This window comes from Homo sapiens, chromosome 3, assembly GCF_000001405.40.
Source record: "Homo sapiens chromosome 3, GRCh38.p14 Primary Assembly".
NCBI lineage: Eukaryota > Metazoa > Chordata > Mammalia > Primates > Hominidae > Homo > Homo sapiens.
This window is the reverse complement of record NC_000003.12, coordinates 163,316,839-163,336,093: the sequence shown is the minus strand read 5'-3', so window position 1 is coordinate 163,336,093 and position 19,255 is coordinate 163,316,839. Positions and strand designations below refer to the sequence as shown.

Sequence of the window (19,255 nt, the reverse complement as noted above, 5' to 3'; positions counted from 1 at the left end):
AAAACCCATTTTCTGTGAATAAATTTAAGCCTGCTGCAGAAATTTATATAAGTAATAAGAAGCCCAATGTTAATCACCAAGATAATGGGGAAAACATCTCCAGGGCATGTCAAAGACTTCATGGCAGTTTCTCCCATCACAAGCCTGGGGCCTCAGAAGAAAAAATCATTTTGTGGGCCTAGCCAAGGGCCCCTGTTCTGTGTGCAGCCTAAGGACTTAGTGCCCTGCATCCCAGCTGCTCCAGCTGTGGCTAAAAGGGGCCAAGGTACAGCCATGGCCATGGCTCCAGAGGTTACAAGCCCCAAGTCTTGGCAACTTCCACGTGGTGTTGATCCTGTTGGTGCACATAAGTAAAGAACTGAGGTTTGGTAACCTCCACCTAGATATCAGTAGATGTAGGGAAATGCCTGGATGTCCAGGCAGAAGTTTGCTTCAGGGATGGGGCCCTCATGCAGAACCTCTGCTAGAGCATTGTGGTAGGGAATTCTGAAGCTGGAGCCTCTACACAGAGTCCTCATTGGGTACTGCCTACTGGTGTTGTGAGAAGAGGGCTACTGTCCACCATCCCCCAGAATGGTACATTCAATAGCAGCTTGCACCATGAAACTAGAAAAGCCAAAGACACTCAAAGCCAGCTCATGAAAGCAGCCAGGAGGGGGGGCTATACCCTGCAGTGCCTCAGGGGTGCAGCTTTCCAAGGCCATGGGAACCTACCTTTTTCATCAGCATGACCTAGATGTAAGACATGAAGTCAAAGGATATCACTTTGGAACTTTAAGGCCTAATTACTACTCTATTAGATTTCAGACTTGCATGTGGCTGTAACCCTTTTGTTTTGGACGATTTATCTCAACTGGAATGGATATACCTCCTATTGTATCTAGGAATGCCTGTACCCCGCATTGTATCTAGGAAGTAACTAACTTGCTTTTGATTTTACAGGCTCAGAGGGGAAGGAACTTGCCTTGTCTCAATTGAGACTTTGTACTGTGGACTTTTCAGTTAATGCTGAAATTAGTTAAGACTTTGCGGACTGTTTGGAAGGCATGATTAGTTTTGAAATGTGAGGACATGAGATTTGGGAGTGGCCAGGATTGGAATGATATGGTTAAGCTTTGTATCTCCACCCAAATCTCAAACTGTAGCTCCCATAATTTCCATGTGTCATGGGAGAGATACAGTGGGAGGAAACTGAATCATGGGCATGTGTCTTTTTTGTGCTGTTCTCTTGATAGTGATAAGTCTCACAATATCTGATGGTTTTATAAAGGGGAGTTCCCTTCCACATGCTCTCTCTCTTGCCTACTGCCATGTAAGGTGTGACTTTTCTCCTTCTTTGCTTTCTGTCATGATTGTGAGGTCTTCCCAGCTACATGGAGCTGTGAGTCCATTCAACATCTTTTTTTATTTTAAATAAATTACCCAGTTTGAGGTATGTCTTTATTAGCAGCATGAGAACAGACTAATACAGCTAGTAAAAATGATTGTTACATATAAGCAAACTAGTTGGCTGAATTAATATGCCTACAAATTATTCTATATGGTTTTATAACAAATATTTATTTTGAAGAGTCTCACAGTTTGTAGTTTATATATTTCAAATTAGATATTGATAAATAATTTATACTATACCAAAATTGCACTAAAATTTGCCTTTTATGGTTATCATCACACAGATAATATTAAATTTTATTAAGACTCAGGAATTTATCTTGCACATAGTAATTCATGGTTTTAAAACACAATTTGAGCAGTTTTTACTTTTTAAATGCATATTCGTATGTAGAAAATTTTATTTAGTTCCATCCTATGAGAATTTTTGCTGGTATATGTGTGTCAGTTATTTATTTTGAGTAATTGTAATAAAATAAGGTAGGCAACCAATATATTATAGATTGTCTTTTAATAACTATAATCTTTAATACTTGCATCTTCATGTGTTTTTAAAATGTCACCTTTCCAACTTATTTATTTTATTTATTTTTATTTTTTATTTTTTTGAGACAAAGTTTTGCTCTTGTTGCCCAGGCTGGAGTGCAATGGCTCAATCTTGGCTCACCACAATCTCTACCTCCCAGGTTCAATCAATTCTGCCTCAGCCTCCCAAGTAGCTGGGATTACAGGTATGCACCACCAAGCCCAGCTATTTTTGTACTTTTAGTAGAGACGGGGTTTCTCCATATTGGTGGTCAGGCTGGTCTCAAACTCCCGATCTCAGGTGATCCACCTGCCTTGGCCCCCCAAATTGCTGGGATTACAGACGTTAGCCACCACACCCGGCCCAATTTATTTATTTTTAATAGTGAGATGAACGTGTATATGATCATTGAAAGCCTTAACTGAAGCCTCCTTGTCTATAAAATTTTCATTTATCCTTTATGTCCTGTTTCTTCCATCTGCACAGAACTCTCAGAACATTTGCTAATCAATACCCACAACTCACCGCTAGATAAGGTCTTTATTGCTTCAGATGGGAAAGCTTAAGAACAGTTAAGTAACTTGAACAAGGTCAGTGTGAATTGGTTTCTGAGGTAGGGTTAGCATACAGATCGATTATCCTCATAGCTATTTCTACATTCTCTGGGCATAGTTGTTCCAGACAGGCCAGTGACAAAGAATCTCTTTCAATTGTGCATCTTCATTACAAAGTTTAAACACAGCCAGAGACATATTTCCAATTGTACATTTCTGCATATTTTGACCAAGATTTTTTACAGACAGATTTTCTGGGAGGAACTACTAGAAAAAAGCCTCTGTCATTCACACACATACACAACACACAAACACAGACACAAACACACACACACACACACACATACACATATATAAAATACTAATATTCTGGTTTCTAATGTATTTAATGTTTATTGTTGTTTTTAGCTAAATGTTTAGAATCATGTTTCTGTCTTGTAACAAATGTTAAATGTATTCTAAAAGTGAACTTATACACTTATACCATGTTTCCTCTCTATACTCTTTATAGAAAGCAGCATTAGAACTTATGTTATTTTTCCACTATAAAGAGATTTAGTTTTAGGTCTTATTCAGTTGATTGCTTCTTTAAAAACCCAAAGTTATTAATTGTTCTCAATAGTTTTAAAAGTATATTAAGTATGCTTAGATAATATTTTCAATATTTTATTATTACAGTACCTTGTTTTTCACAAATTGGATATATATTAACAAATATATAATTTTATGTCAAGTGGTCTCTTAGTTATAGTAGAGTCTTTCTACTTTAGTATTCTACTATACTTTTTTTTCTGAAAATACAATATACTATTTTCAGCATTATTTCAGCAGCACAGCTTATTTCTATGCTTAGCACATCCCACCTTCCCTTTAGTCTTGTGCATATTTTCCCCTTCACCCTTTTAGACTGACTGTGATATATACGTCCAGTCAAATCTATGACTGTCTGAGCAACTTGGATACCATATCCATTATTATTTTGCCTAGGGTCTTATGATCACTTTGACCAAGTTTCTAAAGCAGTCAACATTCATATAGTCTTCAAGTATTTAGCACTACTGCTGTTAGGGACACTTTGTAATGCTATATTACTTTCCTGACTGATTTGCTCTTAGTCATTATTTCTTTCAGTTTGAATCTCTCATCCTGTTTCCTGAACTAATATTTAAATTGTGTCTTCACTTTATGAATTTTATTTAATTTTAGCTTAATTATATGCCCTTTCAACTGATTTTTTTGTTATTAATACTATTTTTTTTCTTTTTTTGGATTACATAGGGTTTGTATATGACCTTGACACTCCCGTTAGTGCAAATTATAGCAATTTCCTACTTACTGACTTTAATATAATCACCTAAACTTAACCTCTGTGAGATAATTCACATCATCCAGTTTACATTATCATAACCTGTATGTTCCAAATATACAAGTAACAGAATACTTTCCCATTTTGTATCAATGGAGTTTGTTTCACTTATTTCACCTAATGAATATGCCAGCTTCCTGTTAATTTTTTCCACTAATATTAAAAGAAAATATATTCTTTGAAAACTTAAATTTATATAGATAAGTCAGTCATTTGTCCTAAAACCTGCCTTGAAATGATAGGAGTATTGTGATGGTCATCTAATTGTGTATTAGTCATTATTTTAGGAAGTGTAATTGTTATTTCTCATTGTTTCTTTTCAAAACAAAACTCCCACATATTGAAGTGCTGTAGTAAGTATTAAAAATAATGAACTAAGATACAGTATATGCAAAGTAACTGATACTGTAAGGGTATTCAAAAAATATTACCCTTATTTTGCATTTTCCTCACTGAGTTGTTCTGGTTGGAAAATATATGCAACTAGAACAACTCAATGTACTGTTGGTTAGAATAAATTTAACTGATCATCATGGTCATATATAAGTAAAAACCATCCATCATACCTAATACAAATTATTCTCATTAGTAATCAGTTTAATTTAAAATTTTCTATATTTGTGATACACATGAGTAATGGCTTTTTTCCCCATTGTTGCCTTCCATGATATTTATTGACTCATTCTAAATTAACCTTTGAAAAACTCTCATCAGATTTAATGGCTTCTGGGGTTCAAATATAGGAACCGTTTTTATATTTCAATTAAGTTTCTTACATTTTTAATTTAAAATTTTAATGCTTCACTTATTGAAAAAAATGTTATATTCTAGTTAAATGTAAAACATTGATTCTGGATGCTTTTCAAAGCTTCTCCTCAACCCAGATTGGAACTCAATTTGGTACAGGCACCGACAGTAAAATAATTGGAAATGGTCTGTTTTTTAAATTAATTTTTTTGTCTCTCCTTTCTGGTTATTTCCAGGTTGAGGCAGTATTGTGTTGAGTTGATTAAAGGAAGGACTTATATTGTAATCATATTTGAATTTCTCTCCTGACTGCCAGAGTCCTGTTTATGGAAGCTGTCCAAACATAACTGTAGGCACATAGATAATTTGGAATGTCCTTATGGCAAACCATGCTTTTCACATATGCAGGGCATGGCTTTCGTTCTTCCGGGGTGAACTTTTCTGACATGTCCATTAGCTTTCAGCCCTAGTGGTATACCCCATGTCCTCTGATTAATGGTGCCTCCAAAATCTCTTAAGTGGATTTTTTAAAAGATATGTTATCAAAGAACCAACAGTCTCCTCTTGGCTCAGAAAAGACTCCTAAGATATTTTAGACTATATAAAAAGACAAAAATGCAACCTGTCTTTGTTTTGTCACTATTTTTTGTGACATTACAAACTGTTCAAGAGACAGTAAGATAACAGCCTTCTTCTCTTGCAGAGAAAGAAATAGCCTTCCTTTCTAACAGAAATGGTCAGTTAGTCTGAGTGGTTCTCAAGGAAAACCACCTCACTTTGAAATTAACCATATATTTAATACACAATTGAACTATTTATGAAATACATACATATATATACACACACAAATACATGCTCTTCAAATTTCTAGTCTTGATGTTTACAAGTTGCCTGAGGACTGTCCCACCACTCCCATCAAAGCTAATGCATGCACCCTCTAATGAAGAGTATAAGTGCAAGTTTTCCTTGTTTACATCTACCCAACTTTGTCCCTGCTCTGATTCAGAGAATAAGATCCAGGCCTCTGGGGGTTCTGCAACCTAATCCAACACCTGAAACACCTGACCACTTCTACCAGGGAACACAAGTCAGGCATAAATCCCATCACAACCATTAAGCTGAATTTTACCTGCAAGCACCAAGTAGTTGCCTAGAGGCAAGCCTACATACCCATTGCAACAACTGCTAGCACAAGAGCATAATCCATGGTAACTAGAAGAGCTTCTCATGACTACTGCTACTGCCATCACCCATGCCCACCCAGATGCCACAGGAGGTTGAGGGCCTGCTCCCCTGACTGGTACACTCCTAGCAATGAGTACAATTGGCATCCAAGAAAGTTACCCAGAAGGCCAATAATCTGCCTGCTTAAAACTGTCAACACAGGTGCCAGAATATGCTGCCCAAAGGCACAAGGATAGACAAACTTATCCCACCACTACTACCACTGGAACCTGAGGAAGGACCCATCACGCATTTCAGTCCCCAGCACAACCTTACCACAGCCCCTACCAATAACCACACTCTAACACACCAAAGAATGCACAGAAACCACTAAGGCTATTTACAGCAAATGAAATTACAGAGAATTATACAGTGTCACACACCCAAAAGCCAAGTCAGACAGCTCTACCCAACCAATATTATAGTAATATCGTCAAGAAAAAGTTCCCCTCAACAAAAGTAAATTCAAAAATAAAAATAATCTGCTGCTCTAGTTGTGCAGAAATCCACATAAAGATAAAGGAAACATAAAAAAGCAAGGTACTATGAATGGCAAGTTTATCAAAGAGACAGATATAGTCTTAAAAAATCAGACAACAATTCTGGTAATAAAAATTTTTTAGAGGAATTATAAAGTATACTTGAAAGATTAGACAATAAACTATACCAAGCAGAAGAAAACAACAGCAGAATTTGAAGACAAGTGTTTTGAAATAATACAGTCATATTTTTAATACACATTTTTAAATAAAGCTTTCAAGAAATTTGAAACTACATAAAGTAATAAAACTTAAGAATTATTAGTATTCCAAAGGGGAGAAATTATGAAAAAAGTTTAGAAAACCTATTAACGAAATCATTGAAAAAACTTCCCAAATCTATCAAGAGCTTTAGATACTCCAACAGAGATGCCTAGCAATTTCTAGAAACAATACATTGCAAAAAAAGGACATCACCAAAAGTCATTGTTGCAGGACTTTTCCTTAGTTCAGCTAAAGAAAGGGTCCTTGTTTCTCCCACAGCCACAAAAATTTATGCTTGCAGGTGTTTGAAGGGTGAGGAAAGCAGGGTTTTATTGGGTGAAAAGGAAGAAAAGGGGGAAACAGGGACTCTTGCTAGGCCAAAGTTCCTGCTACAGTGCTTCCCACCTAGCCGTTTGAATCCCAGGTTTCACACAGGAGGAGAAAGGACTCGTCCTTGCTGCAGATAGCGTGAATTTCTGTGGCTCCACCCTAGCATGCATTTCCAGTGTGCAGGTCAGCTGGAGTATTTCTGGGGACCCCCCTCCCACCTGGCTGTCTCATTCCCCCGCTAAAGAAGTACATCTTACTGCCATTAAATCAAGTGTAAGAACAAAGACGGATCTTACCTGTTTCCTGTTGATAGGTGGCGCTGTCCTGGGGAAACGGCAGTCAGATCTCCCTCGGAGGCCTATCTAAGGGTTCCCAGCAGAAGGGACAATCATCAGAGGCTCCAGTTTCATGACTGTTGGGTTCCCTTCCCCTGAGCCCAATACTAAGCCAACCAGTTTAAGGTTTAGGAAATTAACTCTTTCCAGATTGGAGGATGCATCCAATGGGAGTGTCACGTAGTACAGAGACACAATTACCTATCGGTGAAGAGAGGACAGAGGAGAAAAAATTTAAAAAAAAAAAAAAAAAAAAAGGAAGGCATTTTTTCAAAGGAGTCCCACGGGTTCAGGATGCATTCTAAAGGTATACAAACTGAAGATAAATGGCTACCCATTTAGAAAGAGGGGAGTGGGCATCCCTGGTTTCCTTTTCTTTCAAGCAGATACCCAGGGAGCATGAGGGAGAGAAGGAAGAACATTCTTTTTTCCTTCTTCCATCCTTGCATTCCCGAATTCAAGCGACCTAGGCAGGTGCTGCCATGGTTGTTAAAGCAGCTTGCACCCATGAAGCAAGGAGGGCCTAGAGAATAGGAATTATCCACTCTAACCTATGTCTCTTACCTACCTACTGTCAGTAACCTTAGAGTTCCCTAGATCTCATTTATACCGTGGATACTAATGTGGTCTTTATCCATGAAACAGGAAGATTGGGGTTGGCTTATTGGCAGGAATCAGCCATGGTCAACTGTGCTGTGCCTTTAAACCTCTGTTGTCATTTGCCTCTGAATACCTCACATCCAGTTTTCCTTCCTAGGGCTTTGACCCAAAGCTTGGAATTGAGTTTGGGAAAAAATGTGCCTCAGGGGCTTGCATGGTCCTGTCATAAGCTGAAAGATAAGGTGAAACTGTGGAACTGAGTCCTTCTCCAACAAGGGAGAGGAAAAGATGTCTTGTGACCCACCCAGATAACTGGTGTCTATAGTTATGCCTGCTAAGATTTGGATGCATGAGGCTTAGCTCTGATTAGCTCCCTTGGTCTTACTTTCCCAAAAAGAAAAACTCCAAGTAATGGGCATCGCGTTTATTCTCATCAACTGTCAGGATTTGCAGGATAATTGTTCAGAACTAGAATATTGATCCAGATTTTTATATTACCCATTTCTCTTGTACTTTCTGAGTTCCAGCTGGAGATTGCTGGTAGGTTCACAGGAACAAGCAAGGTTAGTCTGAAATGTAGGTTAAAACTTAAAAACAACTAGTGAGTTTAGAATTTAATTAAAAATATATGATAAATTTTGACACATGATTTCTCTCTCTCCAGTTGTGTTTATTAAAACACAAATCATCATAGGACTGAGTGGCTTGCAAAATAGGCTTTCGTTTTATACTTGGTCTGATTATTTGCAGAAAGTGCAGCAATAATAATTATCTCTACATAGGCTTTTGGGATTGGCTTTGATGGAAGTTCATTCCATAAGTAATCTCAGAAAAGGCCTTTTAAAGCCAAGCCCAACTGTGGATTTGCATCCTTAGTTACCTGTGAGTTGGGTGATCCTTTCCTCTTAAGGCCCCATAATAAACTTGGAGCTCCTGGGCCTGTTAGAAAGTGACATTCTTTACTGACCACAGGTCAGACTCCCTGTACAGAGACTGCGTAAACAAGGGTTAGATGCCAATCTCCCCACGGGGCTTTTATTTAGTCTGCAAGTTGACATTGACTCCTTAAAAGGAAGCATATTTTTCCAGTAGAAGCTTTGGTAAAATAACCACTTTCTCCAATTCTGTTCCATAGCAAAAGAAAAAATGGATTCTTATTGCACTGATGTAAACAACTATATTTCCATAATGATACTCACAGTTAGTTTTCAAATTCTAGAGGAACAGGCAGAGAGAAACAAACATGCTCCAAATCTTGATCACAGGAGTATATGTTACTTATTTATTAAAGGCCATAAATAGTTCAAAACAAGTTTCCTTGAGTGTGAAAAACAAAACATGGATCAGCAATATTCCAAGCAAAAGTCAGAAAGTTTACTTTAGCTTCCTGAGTTCAGTTCACTTAGTTAACTCTTGTTTTGCTTGATATTCCTTAACATTTCAGCTCTTCATTAGTCCTGTATATTTTCCTTTATTCTAATGTTTCAATTTCCAATGTTATTGGAAGTTTGTATTTGAAAGCACCTTTTAAAGTTCTATAGTTTATTATAAACCATCTTTTGAAAATAATTAAAACAAGACAACAATTGTCTGTGTATAGCAAAATGTCCAGGGTAGTTGCAGTTATGAACACAATTGATAAAGAAGTTTAGTTACCTCTGTGGTTTAAAGTAACATAAAACCTTAATTATGATTGACAGCATATACTCAGATATTAGAATTTTAGAAATCCCATACAATTTTGGAACATACATCAGCATTATTTACCAAGATATAACCTAAAAAAGATTGAGCATCATTTTGGCCATCCCGTGTACCTAAATGTGTCAGCTAATCCTGTTTAGTTCTCTTTTATGGACACTTCAGGGGCCATCTGACATATTCGAAAAGCCAGCTACCAGGAAAGACAATTTTGAAACTGAAGTTAGCTTTTGGGAAGGCTGCTAAATGTTTGAGGTTTGAAACACTTGATATTATAAAATAGGATTTCAGATTACCATAAATTATTTTGCCAAAATGATGACTCAGATATTTGAAAGAAGCATAAACCTTTTATAACCCTTTACAAATTTTGCCAAAGAGCACATTAGTGCCTTAGGAAAACCTTGTTATGCTTTTATTCGAATGCTTAATTTACAGAAAATACATATAATACCTTTTTTAAAAAAATTTAGTCAATATGTTCCCACAGAGAACCTCTTCTGCAAGATTAATTTCCACAATTCTTCCATCTCTTCTTTGAACCTTCAGCTTTTTCCTAATTTAACTCAAAACAATTCTTTAATCCTAGGCAAAAGTTTACATTTCCATGCCTTCTTATAACTTTTTATTAAAAAACACATTTCAGTCAGGCATATTGGCTCATACCTATAATCCCAGCACTTTGAGAGGCCAAGGTGGGTGGATCACTGATGTCAGGAGATCAAGACCATCCTGGCTAACATGGTGAAACCCCGTCTCTACTAAAAATACAAAAAATTAGCCAGGCGTGGTGGCAGGCACCTGTAGTCCCAGCTACTTGGGAGGCTGAGGCAGGAGAATGGCGTGAACCTGGGAGGCGGAGCTTGCAGTGAGTGGAGATTGCACCACTGCACTCTAGCCTGGATGACAGAGCGAGACTCCGTCAAAAAAAAAAAAAATTCACTGTTCAAATCTATTTTTAGTAGTTTTAGTTATCTCCTAGCGATTTTTAACTTTAAGGTAAAACCTGTTCAGTTTCTTTAATTGTGTCCTAAGTGCAGTCAACATTTGCCTTCTTAATTAGGGTTGTAGTTAGTTTCATATGTCCCCAGGCCCTACCAGTTGTGAAGCCGGCAAGTCAAATAGTTCTCAAAACCCAAAAAGCAGTTTGTTACCTTAAAACACTTAGCAAATCTTGCATCTGATCTGAATTTTACCAAGAATCTTTAGGGAAGTTTTTATTTCTTAAAGATTAAAGTCACCCAAAAAGAAGGGCACCACAGATTTTATGTTCCCTTAAAAAATATTAGATCCAAGCATTTATCTTTCTTTAGGCCAAATTAATTAGAGCACTTTTTACAGACATTAGACACATCACACACACAGACAGGGAGGGGAAAACCCAGTCCCCAGGTGGGTTTGTTAAGAGACAGGGCTAGGAGAACAAGCAGGTATCAAGTCTTAAAGAAACTTTCCCTAAGGCAGGATTGGTAAACAAAGTCTCCCACCAAAGTTACAAGCTATCCCCTCAGGATGTAAAACAAAACGGAGGCTTCATTTCACAACCAAAATTTCACAGGAAATATAAACAGTAAAAGTTGTGAGGCCTGGCCTAGTAAAAATGTCTTTTTTTTTTATTATACTTTAAGTTCTAGGGTACATGTGCACATTGTGCAGGTTAGTTACATATGTATACATGTGCCATGCTGGTGCGCTGCACCCACTAACACAATAGCAAAGACTTGGAACCAACCCAAATGTCCAACAGTGATAGACTGGATTAAGAAAATGTGGCACATATACACCATGGAATACTATGCAGTCATAAACAATGTCTTCTAAGAGGAAAAAAAAATTCTTTAAAGGTTAACTGCTGTGGGGTAGTGAAGGGGAAGAAAAGAAAGGTGTAAAAATGCCTAGGAAAGAACCTTTTGTTCTTATGCAAGTGGTTCCTCCAACAGGGAAAATAGTTTAATTACTGTCCAGTGGAGCCGAACCCCTTGGCAGAGGAAGAGAGGGTTCTGGTAGTGTGGTTGGAAACCAGCCAGCTGCCCCAGGCACCTTGGATCATGTAACTCCAACCCAGTACAGAGGGGAGGGTAGAGGGGAGCTGCTGTTTGTCAGTCTTTTCCAAAAAAGAAAAGCCTGTGAAAAGGCCCCCAACCCCCTGGAGTGATACGGGTGTGAGGGTGCAGTTTCCTGTAAGCTCAGACATCTGAGGATGAAAAGGCTTAGAAGCCACAGTGAGAGGTTTTGAGTCCCCATTTTATTCACCACTTATCAAGCCCCACGTAGGGTGCCAAAAAATGTTGCAGGAATTTTCCTTAGTTCAGCTAAAGTTGGGGTCCCTGGTAGAGTGCTTCCCATCCGGCTGTTCAAATCCCAGGTTCCACACAGAAAGAAAAGGGGCCAGGCTCCTCCTTACTGCAAACAGTGTGAATTTTTGTGGCTCCACCTCAGTGCACATCTCCAGTGCATGGGTCATTTGGAGTATTTCTGGGGACCCCCTCCCGCAAGGACGTCTCAATACTATAATCAGATTTTCTAAAGACAAACTGAAGGAAATAGTTCTGAAATCAGCAAGAGAAACTTGTCTAGTCATCTCTAAAGGAAAGCCTGTAAGACTGATAACAACTGCTCAGCAGAGCCCTTACAGGCCACAAGAGAATAGGATGGCATATTCAAAGTGCTGAAAGAAAAAAACAACCAGCCAAGAATACTATGTGAAGCAAGATTAAACTTTATAAGTAATAAAGAAATGAAGCCATTCTCAGACAAGCAAATGCACAAGTAATTAATCATCACAAGATCGACTACACAAAAAATGCTCTAAGGTATTCTAAATGTAGAAATAAAAGACAATCAATATTCACCATTGTGAAAGCACATGAAAGTATAAAACTCGTAGATAAAAGAATCACACAAAGGAGAAATAGAAAGGAATCAATTGCCTTCACTATAGAATTCTACTTAACTTCAAAGACAGAGAAAAAGAAACATATAATTTATAAAACAAGTATAAAACACTTAACAATATGCAGAAACAAAATGTAAAAATCATTATTAACTTTGAACATAAATTGATTAAGTGGTCCCTTAAAATAGATTGGTAGAATGGATTTTTAAAAATCATCAAACTATATGCTGCTTACAAGAAACTCACCTTATCCACAAAGGCACGTAGACCGAAAGTAAAGGGGTGGGGAAAGATGTTTCACACAAATGGAAACCAAAAGAGACCAGCAGTAGCTATACTCAGATAAACTACACTTTAAGTAAAAAAATGTTAAAAACTAAATAAATAAAAATAAATAAATAAGATTATTATATAATGATAAAGGGACCAATTCAGCAGAGAGATATAACAATTCTAAGTATAAATGAATCCAACACAAGATAACTCAGATACATAAAATAAACACTATTATATCTAAAGAAGGACATAGATGACAACAAAATAAAAGTAGAGGACTACAACACTCCAGTCACAACATTAGAAAACATTGAAAAAGAAAATTAACAAAAATTAAACAAATTAAGCTTTAGACAAAATGAGCCTAACAGATATTTACATAACACTATGCTCAACAACTGTAGAATGTATATTCGACACATCAGCATATGAAGCTGAGAGACCACTTTAGATAACAAAATAAGTCTCAACAAATTTAAATGAATATAATCATATCAATTATCTTCTGAGATCACAGTGGAAAAATCTAGGAATCAATATCAAAAGGAACTTTAGAAAATATACAAACATGGAAATTAAACATCATGCTTCTGAACAATCATTGGCTCAATGAAGAAATAAAGCCATAAATTTAATACAATGCAACAAATAAAAATGAAAACACAGCATACCAAAACATGTGGAATACAGCAAAAGCAGTGCTAAAAGAAAAGTTTATAGCATTAAAAACCTACATCAAAGAATCAGAGATTACAAATTAACAGCCTAATGTCACATCTCAAAGAACTAGAAAAGCAAGAGTGGTCAAACACAAAATTAACAGAATTAAAAAAAAAAAATAAAGTTCAGAGCTTAATTAACTAAATAAAATAGAGACCAAAAAAAAAGAAACAGTTAAAGGGATCAATGAAAAAAAAAGTTGTTTCTTCAAAAAGATAAATGACAAGCTCTTAGGTAGACTAACCTAAAAAATAAGAGAGTTGCTCCAAATAGATGAAATTAGAAATGAAAAAGATGATATTACATTTGATGCTACAGATATACAAAAGGTAATCAGAGTATAAGAACAACTATAGGCACACAAACTAGAGAATCTACAGGAAACAGACAAATTTCTGGAAACACTCAGCCTCCCAAGATTAAAGCAAGGAGATACAGAAAACCTGAAAAGTCTAATATTTAGTACAGATTGAATCAGTAATAAAAAAGTATTTGAATAAATAAAAGCTCAGGATAAGATGGATTCACAGCCAAATTCTACCAAATAAATGAAGAACTGCACCAATTCTTTAGAAATTATTCAAAAAAATTGAGAAGTAAGGAGTAAATGGTAACTCATTCTACAAGGCCAATGTCAGCTTGATATCAAAATCAGAAAAAAGAAAAAATAATGAAAACAGAATATCAACATCCTTCAAGGAGAAAGAGACAAAAACCCTCCAATATGGTAGCAAACTGAATCCAGCAGCACATGAAAAAGATAGTACGCCATAATCCAATGGACTTAAACCAGGTATGCAAGAATGGTTCAACATATGTAAATCAATGCATGTGATACATCACATAAACACAATAAAAAATCATCAAAATAGATATATAAAAAGCACTTAATAAAATACAGCATTCTACACAGAGAAGAAAAATGACTCAATATAATAAAGATCGCATATGACAAGGTGACACTCAACATCATACTGACTGGGGAAAATTTGAAAACATTTCTTCTAATAACTCAAACCAAACAAGGATATCAACTTCTACCATTTATATTTAACATGGTAGTATAATTCCTAGTCAGAGCAATCAGGCAAGAGAAAAAAAAATACAAAAAACACAACCAAATTGAAAAGAGAGGAAGTCGAATATACCTGTTTGCTGAAAATGTGATGTTGTACCTAGAAAAACAAAACTGAAAAATGAAACATGCCTATATTTTATAAATGAATTCAGTAACCAATAACATCTCAGGATACAAAATTAACATACAAAAAATCAATATCATTTCTATACACCAGGATACAAAATTGGCATACAAAAAATCAATAGCATTTCTATACACCAATAATGATCTAGCTGATAAAATCAAAAAGGCAATCGCATTTACAATTGCCTAAAAATAACCCTAGGAATATACGTAAGCAAGAAGATAAAAGCTTTCTATAATAAAAACTATAAAAAACAGATATATTGTAGATAACAAAAACAAATGGAACAATATTTCATGCTCATGCATTGGAAGAATTACTATTAAAATAATCACACTGCCTAGAGAAATCTACTAATTTAATATAATCTCCATCAAAACACCATTTTTTAAAGAAAATTAAAAGGTACCATTTTAAAATTTATATAAAGCCTAAAAAGAGTCTTTATAGTCAATGTATCCCAAGCAAAATGAATAAACGTGGAGGTATCAGATTACCTGACTTCAAATTTTACTACAAAGCTATATAAGCAAAATAGCATGGAACCACTATAAAAATAGACATATAGAAAACGGTACAGAATATGAACCCCAGAAATAAAGCGAAATATTTAAACTCAATTGATCTTTGATAAATTCACCAAGAACATACACTGAGAATAGGACATCCATATCAAAAACTGATGCTGGGAAAATTGAATTGTCATATGGAGAAAAATGAAACTAAGTAACTATGTCTCAGCACATACAAAAGTCAACTCAACTCCTCCTTGTACCTCTGGTAGAATTCGGCAGTGAATCCGTCTGGTCCTGGAGTTTTTTTGGTTGGTAAGCTATTAATTATTGCCTCAATTTCAGAGCCTGTTATTGGTCTATTCAGAGATTCAACTTCTTCCTGGTTTAGTCTTGGGAGGGTGTATGTGTCGAGGAATTTATCCATTTCTTCTAGGTTTTCTAGTTTATTTGTGTAGAGGTGTTTATAGTATTCTCTGACGGTAGTTTGTATTTCTGTGGGATCGGTGGTGATATCTCCTTTATCATTTTTTATTGCATCTATTTGATTCTTCTCTCTTTTCTTCTTTATTAATCTTGCTAGCGGTCTATCAGTTTTGTTGATCTTTTCAAAAAACCAGCTCCTGGATTCATTGATTTTTTTTAAGGGTTTTTTGTGTCTCTATTTCCTTCAGTTCTGCTCTGATCTTAGTTACTTCTTGCCTTCTGCTAGCTTTTGAATGTGTTTGCTCTTGCTTCTCTAGTTCTTTTAATTGTGATGTTAGGGTGTCAATTTTAGATCTTTCCTGCTTTCTCCTGTGGGCATTTAGTGCTATAAATTTCCCTCTACACACTGCTTTGAATGTGTCCCAGAGATTCTGGTATGTTGTGGCTTTGTTCTCATTGGTTTCAAAGGACATCTTTATTCTGCCTTCATTTCATTATGTACCCAGTAGTCATTCAGGAGCAGGTTGTTCAGTTTCCATGTAGTTGAGCGGTTTTGAGTGAGTTTCTTAATCCTGAGTTCTAGTTTGATTTCACTGTGGTCTGAGAGACAGTTCGTTATAATTTCTGTTCTTTTACATTTGCTGAGGAGTGCTTTACTTCCAACTATGTGATCAATTTTGGAAGAAGTGTGGTGCGGTGCTGAGAAGAATGTATATTCTGTTGAATTGGGGTGGAGAGTTCTGTAGATGTCTATTAGGTCCACTTGGTGAGCTGAGTTCAATTCCTGGATATCCTTGTTAACTTTCTGTCTTGTTGATCTGTCTAAAGTTGACAGTGGGGTGTTAAAGTACCATTCCTTCTGAAACTATTCCAATCAATAGAAAAAGAAGGAATCCTCCCTAACTCATTTTATGAGGGCAGCATCATCCTGATACCAAAGCCAGGCAGAGACAAAACAAAAAAAGAGAATTTTAGACCAATATCCCTGATGAACATCAATGCAAAAATCCTGAATAATATACTTGCAAACCAAATCCAGAAGCACATCACAAAGCTTATCCGCCATGATCAAGTGGGCTTCATCCCTGGGATGCAAGGCTGGTTTAATATATGCAAATCAATAAACATAATCCAGCATATAAACAGAACCAATGACAAAAACCATATGATTATCTCAATAGATGCAGAAAAGGCCTTTGAAAAAATTCAACAACACTTCATGCTAAAAACTCTCAATAAATTAGGTATTGATGGGATGTATCTCAAAATAATAAGAGCTCCCTGTGACACACCCACAGCCAATATCATACTGAATGGGCAAAAACTGGAAGCATTCCCTTTGAAAACTGTTGCAAGACAGGGATGCCCTCTCTCACCACTCCTATTCAACATAGTGTTAGAAGTTCTGGCCGGGACAATCAGGCAAGAGAAGGAAATAAAGGGTATTCAATTAGGAAAAGAGGAAGTCAAATTGTCCCTGTTTGCAGATGACATGATTGTATATCTAGAAAACCCCATCATCTCAACTCAAAATGTCCTTAAGCTGATAGGCAACTTCAGCAAAGTCTCAGGATACAAAATCAATGTGCAAAAATCACAAACTCCCATTCACAATTGCTTCAAAGAGAATAAAATACCTAGGAATCCAACTTACAAGGGATGTGAAGGACCTCTTCAAGGAGAACTACAAACCACTGCTCAATGAAATAAAAGAGGATACAAACAAATGGAAGAACACTCCATGCTCATGGGTAGGAAGAATCAATATCCTGAAAATGGCCATACTGCCCAAGGTAAATTATAGATTCAATGCCATCCCCATCAATGTACCAATGACTTTCTTCACAGAATTGGAAAAAACTACTTTAAAGTTCATATGGAACCAAAAAAGGGCCCACATTGCCAAGTCAATCCTAAGCCAAAAGAGCAAAGCTGGAGGCATCACACTACCTGACTTCAAACTATACTACAAGGCTACAGTAACCAAAACAGCATGGTCCTGGTACCAAAACAGAGATATAGAGCAATGGAACAGAACAGAGCCCTCAGAAATAATGCCACGTATCTACAAACATCTGATCTTTGACAAACCTGACAAAAACAAGAAATGGGGAAAGGATTCCCTATTTAATAAATGGTGCTGGGAAAACTGGCTAGCCATATGTAGAAAGCTGAAACTGGATCCCTTCCTTACATCTTATACAAAAATTAATTCAAGATGGATTAAAGACTTAAACGTTAGACCTAAAACCTTAAAAACCCTAGAAGAAAACCTAGGCAATACCATTCAGGACATAGGCATGGGCAAGGACTTCATGTCTAAAATACCAAAAGCAATGGCAACAAAAGCCATAATTGACAAATGGGATCTAATTAAACTAAAGAGCTTCTGCACAGCAAAAGAAACTACCATCAGAGTGAACAGGCAACCTACAAAATGGGAGAAAATTATTGCAATCTACTCATCTGACAAAGGGCTAACACCCAGAATCTACAATGAACTCAAACAAATTTACAAGAAAAAAACAAACAACCCCATCAAAAAGTGGACGAAGGACATGAACAGACACTTCTCAAAAGAAGACATTTATGCAACCAAAAGACACATGGAAAAATGCTCATCATCACTTGCCATCAGAGAAATGCAAATCAAAACCACAATGAGATACCATCTCACACCAGTTAGAATGGCAATCATTAAAAAGTCAGGAACCAACAGGTGCTGGAGAGGATGTGGAGAAATAGGAACACATTTACAGTGTTGGTGGGACTATAAACTAGTTCAACCATTGTGCAAGTCAGTGTGGCGATTCCTCAGGGATCTGGAACTAGAAATATCATTTGACCCAGCAATCCCTTTACTGGATATATACCCAAAGGATTATAAATCATGCTGCTATAAAGACACATGCACACATATGTTTATTGCGGCACTATTCACAATAGCAAAGACTTGGAACCAACCCAAATGCCCAACAATGATAGACTGGATTAAGAAAATGTGGCACATATACACCATGGAATACTATGCAGCCATAAAAAATGATGAGTTCATGTCCTTTGTAGGGACATGGATGAGTCTGGAAACCATCATTCTCAGCAAACTATCGCAAGGACAAAAAACCAAACACTGCATGTTCTCACTCATAGGTGGGAGTTGAACAATGAGAACACATGGACACAGGAAGGGTAATATCACACACCGGGGCCTGTTGTGGGGTGGGGGGAGTGGGGAGGGATTGCATTTGGAGATATACCTAATGTTAAATGACGAGTTAATGGGTGCAGTACACCAACATGACACATGTATACATATGTAACTAACCTGCACGTTGTGCACATGTATCCTAAAACTTAAAGTATAATAAAAATAAAAAATAAAAAAATAAAAAAACAGAAGTCAACTCAAGATGGAATAAAAATGTAAATGTATGACCTGATCTTCAAAAAGACTAGAAGAAAGCCTTGGGAAATCTCTTGTGAACTTTTATCTAGGTGAATAATAGATGACTAAGTTCTCAAGCACAAGCAATAAAAAACAAAATAGAAAAATATAACTAAATTAAACTCAAATGTTGCACAGCAAGAAAAATAATATGTAGACTGAACAGACAACCTGAAGAATTGGAGAAAATATTTGCAAATTATGCATATGGCAAGAGTCAAATATCCAAAGTACACGAGATACTCAAATGACTCAAC

General features: G+C 36.4%; 1 long non-coding RNA gene across 2 annotated transcripts in view; it reads right to left on the bottom strand.

The window, feature by feature from the left end:
• The window catches only part of LOC105374188 (uncharacterized), a 76,972-nt gene that overhangs the window by 45,069 nt on the left and 12,648 nt on the right, over window positions 1-19,255 (bottom strand). Inside the window, exons 3-4 of one of the 2 annotated variants that reach the window (XR_924654.1) lie at window positions 9,017-9,134; window positions 7,179-7,418 (exon numbers count right to left, since the gene is read on the bottom strand). This is a non-coding gene — a long non-coding RNA (uncharacterized LOC105374188). The remainder of the gene's footprint in view (window positions 1-7,178; window positions 7,419-9,016; window positions 9,135-19,255) is intronic. The other variant, XR_924655.1, reaches the window with a different exon arrangement.